Below are 13,028 nucleotides of genomic sequence, written 5' to 3'. Positions count from 1 at the left end.
ATCAAGTTCTAAATAGTTTGAATTTCTCTATACTAAGAAGACCCCATATCCTGCCTACAACAAGGAAATGATACCCTCATTAAACATTTATCTAATAGTGCCACAGAAGAAAATGAACAAAACCATGTGGAAATGCATCAAACACTTGTCTTTTAGTAATCACACCTACTGCACAGACATAAACAAAATGTTCTCCCAAAAGAGCACCTTCACAGCCACCATTTCATCCACTTGCTGTACCCAACTTGTAATCTTACATTGAATTCTCCCTATTTTTGTAGATAACAATGGTTAATTTTTGAAGTCATGAACACATAGATTACACAGTTGATAAAGAAATAATTATGAACACATATATTAACACAACTTACACAGTGCACTTTAGCCAAATATACTAAAGTGACTTATCAAAAACTACTATAAAGATTAATTACCTCCATTTTGTAGTGCACTTAGTAACAGTAACAACACCTGGAATTTATATAGCACCTTTCTTCCTAAGGGCTCAAATCTTAGAGCAGCCGACTGCTCATTCATGAGAGGTGAATTAATGTTTCCAGGTCGCCTGAGTACCATTTAGCCAGTGACTTCATCTTGTGTAATATGTGGCATTCTGGTACCCTGATCTCTTATTGGGCCTCAATTGGATAAACAGCGTGTTTCCAGAGAGAAGGGTCATTCATGTCGGCACATCATAATATTGAACTCTATTTGAACAGGGACCAAAGGTGACAAAATTAAAAAGTTCTCAATAAAATGACTTTTGTTGCATAGAAACACATTGCAGTGATACATTAGACAGTTTACAGGAGATAATTTGAAGCATTTTACCATGCTTCCTCCTCCATTTTTTATACATACGTACATGTGAGAAAGATTCTTCATGGGTTGAAACATTCGTGTGTTTATATTTGGAATCTCTATCCTTTCCAGGTCTCTGGAAAATACACACGATAGGTTTAATGGTGTTGAGATGAAACGTTTTAATAATTGCATTCTTCATCATATCCGAAATATAATGCTTCAAGATCTTATGTTACCAATGCAGATTAGAATGAAAGTTTTACAGTACACTATCTTAGAAAATGGCTGTTTCTATTTATGCCTCCTGCAGTTTGGCGCTGATTGTGTCATTTCACATGCAGAATTACATTCTAATAGAACATATTCATTCATTTCTTTGATTTAAGAATGGCAGTGGTGATTTGTGTATTATGAAATTGGCTCTGTAGTTTGATTTTATTAATATAAGTAATGCCATAGGAATTAGAGGGTTTAATTCAGGAGATGATCTTTCCAACCGGAGAGCATCACTGAAGTGAGTTTTGTGAGAATCTGGATTTAAATATGATCATTTCTTCCTGGCCTATGTGTCTTTAGGATGGAAAACCATGAAGGTAGCAAGAGGAACTCCAATTCAGGAGTCTTCTAAGACACCAGTGGTATGTCTTAGAATTCCTTTAATTAAATTTAAGTTAAATTTAATTAAATTCCTTTAAATCCTTCAGGCCCCATAAAATGTCCTCAAAGGGATCCAAGGATCACTCCTGTTCTCTTAGTTGACCTCAATGCTTGCTTCTACAAATGTGGACACTTTGAAGATCTCTTTAGGATGGTATGAATTAAGAGCTGCCATGTTCTTAGGAAGCAGATGGAGAGAGATAATCTAAAAAGACAGAGGCCTTTTGCTTTTAATGTTTATTTTGAAATATGTCTGATTCTCACTTGGTTTCTTTTTGACTAATCCGAATAAAGATTTCTCAACATGGTTCTGAGTTTTCCTTTGCCCAAGGAGTTCTTGCTTTTTGGAAGTCAAAAATGAAATCTGGGAAAGCTGTTATACTACTGAGTAATTGCATGGCCCCTCTAGCAGGAGACTCTAAGCCCTTTCTAAAAGTTTAATTTTCCTTTTTTTTTTTTTCTCTCTGGCTCTGTCCTTGACTTACACAGTTTTAGCTTTATGTGGATTCTGTGATTATTTGATTACTAACCTATAGCATCCTGAAGAGCAGGGGCCACTGTATCCCAAGTGCTAAAACAATGCTTTGTGTAAGTTGGTGGCTAAGATATGTTTGTGAAATAAATGGGTAAATGAATCACAGGAAAAAAAGAAAGACTGGGCAGGCACGGTGGCTCACGCCTATAATCCTAGCACTTTGGGAGGCCAAGGCAGGTGAATTGCCTGAGCTCAGGAGTTTGAGACCAGCCTGGGCAACACAATGAAACCCTGTCTCTACTAAAATACAAAAAAAGTAGCCTGGCATGGCGGCGTTCGCCTGTAATCCCAGCTACTTGGGAGGCTGAGGCAGGAGAATTGCTTGAAGCCGGGAGGCGGAGGTTGCAGTGAGCCAAGCTTGTGCCATTGCACTCTAGCCTGGGCGACAGGGCGAGACTCTGTCTCAAAAGAAAGAAAGAAAGAAAGAAAGAAAAACACTAAAGAAAAAAAGTAGAAATGAATAAAGAAAAGTATGTAATAAATAATTACTACTTTGACTTTCAGGAAGGCATTATGTAGTGACTTGGTATTTTGGCTTTCAGAAATGCAGTATGCGGTAAGCAAAGAGAAGAATCATGCTGTCCACATCCTCAGGTCTGTCCTTATATTTTAAAAAATAAACATATATGTTTAATATTATGGCTTCTTAAGAATAGGGACCAGATCTTTTTCATCAGTGGATGCTCACTAATATCTGGTAAGAGAGAAACCTAAATCTTGCATTAATTTCTGATAGAAAACTAGCAAGAATAAAAGATGATACTAAGAATTGGTCTTTGGAATTAAAGGAGGAAATGCTTTAGGCTGCAGTCAGGCAGCGTAGTCTGCTGTCTGTGTGAAAACAAACAACCTTTAGCCAGCAATTGCCATCCATTGGAAAGAAATCATGAAGTTCAAAGGAAAAGTGGCAGAGTTCTTGATACCACTGAAACTTAATATGGTTGAAATGTAAAAATACTGTACATTAATTTTCTGAATGTGCATATTTGTGGGACAGTTTTTTAAAAACTTATTTAAAAGTAAAACAATGCACTGTACACTAATATCAAGTAGATCCTTGTAGGAAAGGGCAAAGGGGAAAAGCAGGCAAGTCTTACATAATTTGTTTTAACCAAACTTTTAGAAACAAAACTATTGCAAATTTAATTCTTTGTGAAAACTGTAGGATGAGATTTTGCCACATGAACCCAGTTTTCAAGAAGGACATTCCTGAAACCTTCTTCAAGTACAGAAATGGACTTCATACATGTCGAATGGTAAATAATGAGGCTTATTTGTCATTCAGTATGTACTTGATGGGATCTGTGATTCAGACAGTTGTCTGAAATGCATGCTCCTGTGTGCAAAATACCCATTTAAAAATAAATGTGTCTCTAAGTACATCCACTAAAATTATAATCAATATAATTGTAATATTTCACTTACAGAGACTGAAGTTGTTTAAGACTTTCAAACTGGTTCTTGTGAAGATACATAAGAGGATTGGATGACAGGTTCCTTTTTTTTTTACCATTAGATGAGAGAGGAAAAGAAGTTTGAAGGTATTATTATTTTGAAAGCTCAAAATATTGCCCTTTAAATCTGATTATGGTGAGAAGTAGAACTTACAGCTTTTGTAGAAGCTTCAAGTCTTTAAAAAGGTGAGGTGATAGTTCCGTTATCGTATTGCTAGACAGATCCCTGTTGACGACAATGAAAACCCAAAGCAATTACTTTGGAAGTAAATGACAGACTTATTACTCCTCACAATTATCATCATCCCATTTGATGTAACAGAAAATATGAATCCAATTTAACCAACCTGATAACTTGTTACACAACAGGGCCGTATGAGTCAGCCAAATGGATACGGTTTCCAACACTTACATGTAACACTTTGCTCGTCCAGTTCCTATCTGGAATTTCCTCTTACCCTCTCTCAAACACATTCCCAACCTGGCTTTCATATCTAATTTGGTTAATTTCCCTTGCTCTAGATACTCTTTGTACACTTCTACTCTTCATGCTTCTGTGATTGCCACTTGCTTCATATACGTGGTCTCTTGTTTATCCAACTACACTTTTCGAGGTCAAGTCTTGCATCTTTGATTTGTTTTGCATTCCAACCAAGACAATATTGTCCACTCAGTATCTGCCCAGATAATCTTGAATAAGTTCACACGCTTTTAATATGTTCTTCTACAAGACTATTTTTGCAGAAGAAATTGCAAGTTTAGAATTAAATATAATAGGACTGTCCAATCCAGACAGAATCCTAAGAAAGTGACTCTATAAAATGTGGAAAAGAGACCTGTTAAAATCAGAAGAAATGAATCTTTAAGAGTCCAGAGTATATTTCTGAGCCAGAGAAGATGTTAAAACAGATATACAGTTGCCTAACTAAGAGTCAAACAAAAATGATCTCTTTTGATACTCTGGAACTGCTGATGGTTATGTGGGAGTTACAAATAACTATGACTTAGCTCTTTTTGTAAAGAAGCTTACATTTAGAGTAGCAACTAGATACAAACAAGGAAACAATCAAACAGGTGCTATTATAGAAGTGCAGAGAAAACATAGAGGAAAGAGTCATCAGTCTTGGCCTGGGACATTAGGAAGTGTTTGAAGAAAGCTTGATGATTTTAGGTGGGGTAAAAGAAGAACAGCTTCTCAGGTGGGTGTAAAAAATGATCTGAACCACAGATGCTTGGAATTCAGTGACACTTTCAGGAGTCAGGAAGTGATCCAACATGGGTGGAGGATGCAAGATGTAGGGAGAGGTAGAGGACGTCATGGAGAGTGCGTGGAGACAAAATGGGAAAGCCATGCGTGCACTTCAAGGCAGTAGTTTTCATAGTAGAGTCCAAGCATCCAAGTCCCCAAGGATGCTTATAAAAAGAGCACATCCCCGGGACCCACCTTGGAACTATCACATCAGACTTTCTGGGAGGGAGCCTGGTAACATGCATTTAAGCCAATATCCCATGTGATTCTTCGGCCCATTAATGTTTGAGAACTGTGTCAAGGACTTTGCTAAACACCAGGCAACAAGAAGTAAGAACATTAAATAGGGCAATGGCATCATTTACTCCGGGTTATGGAATGATTATTCTGTCAGAAGCATGAAAGACAGGCAACAAGGCCTGGGAGTTGGGGGAGGAAGACCAGGCAGGAGCTTCTACATGGACCAGGTGAGAGCAAATGAGGGTTAAGGGGGACAGCAGCAGGGCTCAGGGTCTGGCTGAACATGTATTAAGAGAAAGTTGGAGGGAAACGGAATGGTCTTCAAGCCTGGCTACCAGGAAGGAGGCACTGAGATGGCAAGTCCAGGTGAAGAAGCTGGCCATCAGGTTGGGGTCTCTTGTTAGTTCTGTTTCAAATGGGTTGCTTTTGAGGTGCTGTCATGACACCAAAGTCTGAAGTCCTGCCAAGTGAGATGTCTCATCTGGTCCTCCAGATGAGAGGAGCACACCTAGATCTCAGCCCAGAAGGGAGACCACAGGTGCACACAGGCCAGAGAGAGCCTGACAATAAAGCAATATGATGATGATTTCATACACCTAGAAAATGCCTTTCAAAGGGTTACCCAGAAAAATAAAGCACACTCTTTTGGAGGAAAGGACTTTGGGGGTCTCAAGTACTTGTGCTTATTCCTCCCTGGATGGGTTTGTTGCCATGAAGGCACAGTAAAACTACTTAACATTTGTAAACTCAAGACATATGAATGCCTTGTTCTAGTTAAGCCTACCAGCTTCTGAATTTCTTTTAGCTTTCTGAGGCTAAGTGAATTGCAATGGATCACTATAGATCTTAATAGCAAGCTGGCATCTCTTAAGTGGGCTCTTATTTTTGGTGTGCCTCTGCCTATATGTAGGATGCGAAGAGGGTTAGGAAAATTTTAAAAATATGGACTCTGTACCACTGTTTCCTTAAGTTTATATATAAAATACCCCTCTGGGTTGGGCGTGGTGGCTCACACTTGTAATCCCAGCATTTTGGGAGGCTGAGGCGGGTGGATCACTTGAGGCCAGGAGTTCAAGACCAGCCTGGCCAACATGGTGAAACCCTGTCTCTACTAAAAATACAAAAAAAAAAAAAAATTAGCCAGGCATGGTGGCAGGTACCTGGAATCCCAACTACTCAGGAGGCTGAGGCAGGAGGATCACTTGAACCCAGGAGGCAGAGGTTGCAGTGAGTGGAGATCATGCCATTGCACTCCAGCCTGGGTGACAAGAGCAAAAAAATCCATCTCAAAACAAAACAAAACAAAACAAACAAACAAACAAAAAACCCCTCTGTTTGTCCTGGGTTATTCCTCCACCCCACCATGCAACCCAAGTCCACAGTCATCCTCCACAGCCTGGGCAGGAATGCCCTGGGAGGAAGTCTTTTCTGAATGAGCTGCCTTTAAGTTTTTGCCTATAAAATGATCATACTTTCAGTTCTAATGCAGTACCTTGCACATACCAGGCACTTCATAAATATGTGTGGATTTGATTTATGATGCTCATTAATTAGATTGAATTACCTTAACTATTCATGAGTTATTTTTTAGATTACTCTTATTATTTTCTCCAATCCTTTCTGGATTTCAAAATAAGGTGTAAAGAATGGGGAGAGATTAATTCAGAAATTAATTTCCATTTTAAGGCCTCAATCAGAAAGATGAGTTTTCTATCCTAATCACTGCTATGTGTAATGTAACAGACTTAGTTTTAACTTCCACTGATACACAATTATGTGGGGAGCAATGAATTAATAGCGAGAGAAATGATTTTAAAAGGCTTAGATCCATAAAACAAATATTTGAACAGAAAAAATTCACATGAGCTCTCTGAATATTTTTTCCGTGAGCCTAACCCTCATTCTCAGCATTGGGATTTGCTTCACCTGCTATATAAGTCATAATTTCTCAAGGACTAGTAAGCATATTTGTTCCTTTGTTCAGTTATAAGGAATTAATATTATTTCAGTTAGTCAGTTATTCATTATCAAACATTTATTGGGAATTAACTATACTCCAGTCAGTAGAAAGAAATGATCCCTGTGTTTAAGAAGCCATGGAAAACTCATTTACTCCCAAACACACATAAATAAGAAATCACCCAAAGAAAACAAGTAGAGAAACTAGGGTAGGTTAAATCCATATTTAGCCCACTGTCTGATTTGAATGTGCTTTGGACTTCAGGATAATGTTGGTTTTCTTAATTGATTTTTAATATCCAATAGTCTACAGGATTTTGATTGCTACTAGTGGCAAAGCAGTCTCACTAGTCATTTAAATTTATAATCTCGGAAGAAGCAATCATATTTTCCTAGTAGACGATGCTACTTACAGTTCTCCTAAATTTTTTAATGAAGAAAATGTCTTCTCTGGAACAAAACCAATTTGATTTCTAGGCAGAAACCTGTAAGACATGGCGAGAATCAGCATGTGGGTTTGCGTCTGCTGTAGTAATCAGTTCTCATTGGGAGAGGCCACTGATCCAGGCAGAATTTTATAAGCCTCCTTTGAAGTCTTCAAGGGAGGCATCTTTTGGAGTGGAAACTAAGGCAGGACTTTTTCACCGTGGACATCCCCATGTTCTCTTCAGGAAGTGCTGTCATGAGCAATTTGAGGTCCTGAGTGCGGTCTAGAAAGCTGCATTTTGTTTGGATCTAATTATTTTAGAAAATGTCTCTTTTAATTTTCCTTTTCCATTCTTTTTTCCAATCATCCATCCAATCAACAAACATCACTAAGTGCTTACTAAATGTGGAAAACTATCATTAAAACAAAACCAAAACACTGATGTTTTGAAGCTTTCCAGCATGAATGCACTGATTGACCAAACCATCTGCCTTCCCGCCCCCATAAAAAATATAAACAGCGATCAGAATCATGAGGCAGAATCTTTGGCCAATCAGAATGCATTAGATGTTTTTCCTTTTAGATGAAATTATGATTTTTTTTTTCTTTAGGGAGAAAGACATCAAATGGTAAGAGTCATTGGCTAATCATTGTAAAGCTAATCATTGTACAGCTAACCCCTTTCACATACATTATTTCCCTTCCTTGGTGACCATGGGGTTAGGAAACTGGAACTTTCAGGTCCCAGTTCAGCTGAGAAGGTGCACGGAAATAAAGATGGCACATGATGTCCCTAAAGGGTGGGCACCTTAACTTGAGGCTCAGTCCCAACATCCAAATCAATAAATCAGTGTGTGCATTTTCTAGCACTGCAGTGTCAGACCAAGGCTGTAAACAAAACACTACTTTAAAATTTTTTGTCAATGTTTTCTTTTTAACTTCCAAATATATAGGGTTTCCCCTCATTTAGTGAAGTCCATTGTATACTTACAGCACTGTGAGCGAATCGCACGACAGAAACGTAGAATTTGTGAGATACTTTATTCTATTGCCTTCCAAATCCCTGGAAGTCATGGAGGAAAGATATTTTTAATATTTTTTGTACAAATCATATGCTTAGAGATACTTTTTAAAATGGTTATCAAGTTTATTTTTACTTCATTCCAGTTGTTACTATCTTTCCTCCTAATTATTGCAAGGTTAGTATAACTAATATTATGCTTCTTTCCCCCTTCCAACTAATGTTAATAAAATTGAGGAAAGGGCAGCCTAACTTTTAGCGAGCGTCTTTCTGTGCTGAATGCTATGCTATTAATTATAATATTGCCCAACCCATCATAAACTACCATTGATTGGGCTTTTATGGTGCCAGGTGCTGTTCTACACGCATCACACAGCACTCCTGCCAAATTGCTGCTATTATCCCCCATTTAACATAAGAGAAATCCAAGGCTTTTGGTGATTCACTTTCCTTCTGACCACACAGCTAGTAAGTGGTAGAACTGACCCAGCTCAGATCTGTCAGAATCTAAAGCCTAGACACTTAACTACCATGTCTGTGGCGTCATTGATCATTATATCCTCACATTCCCTCCAACATCAGGTAGATGTTCTTGTCTCTGTTTTGCTGAAGGAGAATCTCAGGCCAAAGTTATCCTGCACATACTGAACACCAGAGACAGGATGTGAATCCCGATCTGTGTGATGCCAAAGTGCAGGCTCTTTCTATGATGCCTCAAGGACGCTAATGCCAAGGGCAATGCTGCTCAGAATGGCAGGGATGCAACCTCAGCGCTGCCTGGAACTTGCTAGAAATGCAGATTCTTGCCCAAGACCGACTGAATCAGAAACTCTAGTACTGAAGTCCAGCCATCTGTGTCTCAGCAAGTTCGCCCATTGTTTACGATGCACGCTGATGTCTGAGAAGCACTGCTGGGGAGATTTCATTTTGCCAGGTAATTCTGCAGGTCAGTGGCATCCCACATACGTGGACAGCGCCTTCCGGAACACTCTGACATTCCCTCTTTGAGCAATGCGGGGGACTAAGAAACAGCCCATTTTTCTGCCAAGTCTCCTGATTCCTTTTCATAGTCAGCTTCTTACAGTGTTCCCCAAATATGGCAATAGCTATTTTTCTTCTTCTGAACTTTTCTCATAGTCACACTAAAATCACCAATCCCTTTGTCATTTTAAGAAAATCCTATTTTAAAACTATCTTGGAGATTTGTGTAGGAACTTGAGATGTACATTTTTCACACAATATACTGTGATTAAAAATAACAAACACCATACTCTCCTAAAAATCCAAATATTGTGAAATGGAATGGAAAAAATGTTTTTCATGTTCTCCGAAGAAGGACACTTTGGTGTTGTGGGAGCAATTGTCCAACTTGACAGCAAGTAACGGAAGAGGAGAAGCCTCCCCAGGACAGGTTTTCTCCTGTCTGGCCTTTCTTCCTGTCTGGCCTTTCAGCTTCCTACCCTCTGTGTTGAAAGGCTCTCAATTGCAATCAGGCTGTCTTGCTACCTGTGCGTTTTTATTGTGTGTCTATTTTTTCCCACGTGTTTGTGTGAGCCCATTGTGAAAATAAGTGTCTCCGGAACCCTGAGCTCTGAGGCTGGTTCCTCACCTCCTGCTGACTGATGCCCCTTTTGGGGAGGGAGAGCAGGCTGAGCTCCTGATATTTTTCTGCTACCTTTACTCTTTCCTGTGTGTTTCCCATTGTGTATATGCACTTGTTTAGTTTCTAAGTATTTTCTTTTCACCTATTCTTATTCTCATGGTGTTCAGGTCATTATTTCCGTTTTTAATAGTGGCACACTTACGTGAGACCTCTACTGTTTTAGAAGCCTTTTGACAGCATATATTTAAATAAATACATAAAAATAAACATCAGAAAATAAACACAACACCACCTAATAGTGTTGTAACAAGAGATTTTGAGGTTAGTTTAGAGGGGATCAAAAGCTGAAGTACTAAAACTTTATCATCTTATGGGTCTTGAGTTCCATGATTTGACAGAGAAGAGTTCCAGCAGCGCTACCATCAGCATTTTCATGGAACAGGAAAGCAATAGACATGACAATCCTGGTTGTTGCAGAAGACCGTGAAGGTGTATGTGGCAGGGAATGGTGGGTAATGGTGGTGAAGGTACGACGTAAATTAAATGAATGTTTTAAACAGGTATTGGTTAAAAGCTAACAAGGAGTGGAAATGGTTTAGTACATCCATCCTAACAAAGGCTTATTGAGCACCTATTATGTACTGGTCATTGTCCTAATGCTGGGGTAGGAAATCATACTATAGGTTTCTGCCTTCCCAGAATTTATGGAACAGTATAGAAGACATAAGCACTGAGGAGGGTGGATCACCTGAGGTCAGGGGTTGAAGACCAGCCTGGCCAACATGGTGAAACCCCATCTGTACTAAAAATATAAAAATTAGCCAGGCCTGGTGGTGCATGCCTGTAATCCCAGATACTCGGGAGGCTGAGGCAGGAGAATCACTTGAACCCAGGAGACAGAGCTTGCAGTGAGCCGAGATCGCACCACTGCACTCCAGCCAAGGTAACAGAGTGAGACTCCATCTCAAAAAAAAAAAAAAAAAGACAAGCCCAATGACTATATGGTGATAGTACCCTGAGATAGGGATGAGATAGTACCCTGAGACAGGGCAGTGTGGTGGAGTTTTGTAGATGATGTAATGTGTGGGAGTACATAGGTGGCTGCTGAAACTGGTTGGTGTGTCAGGAATGACCTCCTGGAGGTGAGGTTTAAGTTGTCTTTCAAAGGAAATGTTTAAGTTATCCAAAAGAATAAGGGAGCAAGATTTTTTAAGTCCAAGGAACAATATGCTTAGGGAATTGACTGTAGGAGTAGTAGTTTGATACATGCATACGAGGGTCAGGGATAGCATCTAGATGGGGTAAGGAATGGAAAATGAGGGTCTTGGATGCTCAAAGGGAAGGTCAAACTTTACCCTCACCCTTTGGGAACCCTCAAATAATTTTGAAACTGGGAAGGTAATATGATCAGATTTTGATTTTGGAAAGAAATTATAGATGGACTTTCTAGGTAACCTTGAATTAACTTTATGGCTAGTTTCCTTAATCAGGGCAAATAACAAATTAATTCCTAAATAAATACTCACACCCAGTTGAGTTGAGGCATTTGGGCACACATCTGCTTGGGAAGAGCTTCTAAGTAGTTATTAACCATAGACCTTTACACAAAGAAAATGTTAATTAGAAATAAAATGATATGACACTTTTAGGACAGTCTTTTTATTATTTTAAAATTTCAAAACTTGCGTGCTAAAATTAATATCTTATGATGATAACATATATAGCTATTTCAAAATGGTCTTTAAAACATGTGTATGGCAAAGATTAGGGAGCAGATGTTGTCAAAGAAACTATGAATGCATAAGTATGATACATATCCTAGGAATAGATGTTACACAGTTTAATTTTATGAGATGAAACAAAAGTATATATTGGGTAATAATTTTGAAGTTCATGGTAATTTTCCTTGTAAACTTCACGTTGTAATCATTTCCAGTGCCATACATCCAAAGTTTCTTCTTAAGGGCATCATTAATCATTTATAATATTAAAGGGCCACATTGGAAACTGCATTAAATTGGAGAAGTGACAGTAGGGGGAATTTGGGGAAAGAAAACAACTCTTGAGCATGTTAAGCTGCAGGATTAATTTATGATATTGTGGTTCCTTTTGACAAATGGAAAAATAATGATGTTATATGATCAGTTGTAAAGGAATATAATAATCCCCTGCTGATAAATCATTCTAGTGTATTAATAAACAGTGAAAATATTATTGTGAGACAGCTCTCTTGGTAGGACAAAGATTTTGAAAGTTTCAGTGAGTCTTGCTGGGCAAAGGCACATTTTCTTCCATTAAAAATGGAGTTGGAGATGAACTCCTGGGAGATTCTAAGAAAATATAAACATAGGATATAAAAATTAATACTATCTTTGGTCAACCACTGCAAATAAAAACATGCCTTAGTACTAAAGGAAATTAAAAGGGATAGAAAAATCAACTAGTAGGCTTAAAATATTCATTATGATCTGGTCAGCTCTTCCCTTTGAGCCATGGCCAGGAAGTATTATATTAACAGTAACTGTGGCTGGAAACACAGGAGAAGTTTTGACTAATAAAAATTTTTGTGGGCTTGATTTTTTTAAAAGTTCTTTTTGTAAGCTAGTGCTAGATGTCATTGCAATGTATCGATAGATGTATTGAAAGGTTGATGAATACTTACAGGAAAAACAAGGAATTTAATCCCGTAAACAAGCGCTGTGAAATTCTGGTTATTGGATTGTCATCTAGAATTCTGACAAAATGTATCAAGAAACATTTCCAATATTAGAGACATTTGTGAAATAAAACCTGCCTCCCCTCAACACCTGGCCTACTCCTTTGTGTGCTTCCATACTTGGCTCACCTGTCCCTTCCCTGAGAGCTTTTCCTTCCGTCTGTGGTTGGAGCAACTCTTTCCTCCAAATTCCTACAGCTTCCATCCCACTTATCAAGTTGGATCCTGATTGTTTTGCTTTCTCCCTGCTGCCTCCACCTCCTGCTGGACTTAAAGACCCAGGTTGTATCTGTCACCTCTGGGTACCTGGGTCTGGCACAAACTCCACGTATTGAATGCATTTGGGCTCCATAAATGCCTTAA

General features: G+C 38.6%; 1 protein-coding gene across 3 annotated transcripts in view; it reads right to left on the bottom strand.

Moving 5' to 3' along the window:
• RXFP2 (relaxin family peptide receptor 2) overlaps positions 1 to 13,028 on the bottom strand; it is a 63,864-nt gene that overhangs the window by 13,331 nt on the left and 37,505 nt on the right. For 2 of the 3 annotated variants that reach the window (NM_130806.5, XM_017020389.2), the window contains exons 8-14: positions 12,612 to 12,683; positions 11,476 to 11,547; positions 8,317 to 8,388; positions 7,312 to 7,383; positions 3,605 to 3,676; positions 3,422 to 3,493; positions 866 to 937 (exon numbers count right to left, since the gene is read on the bottom strand). In NM_130806.5, the coding sequence (NP_570718.1) occupies positions 866 to 937; positions 3,422 to 3,493; positions 3,605 to 3,676; positions 7,312 to 7,383; positions 8,317 to 8,388; positions 11,476 to 11,547; positions 12,612 to 12,683 (504 nt within the window). The remainder of the gene's footprint in view (positions 1 to 865; positions 938 to 3,421; positions 3,494 to 3,604; positions 3,677 to 7,311; positions 7,384 to 8,316; positions 8,389 to 11,475; positions 11,548 to 12,611; positions 12,684 to 13,028) is intronic. The other variant, NM_001166058.2, reaches the window with a different exon arrangement.

Source organism: Homo sapiens, chromosome 13 (genome assembly GCF_000001405.40).
Source record: "Homo sapiens chromosome 13, GRCh38.p14 Primary Assembly".
NCBI lineage: Eukaryota > Metazoa > Chordata > Mammalia > Primates > Hominidae > Homo > Homo sapiens.
This window is presented reverse-complemented; position numbering and strand designations above follow the sequence as displayed.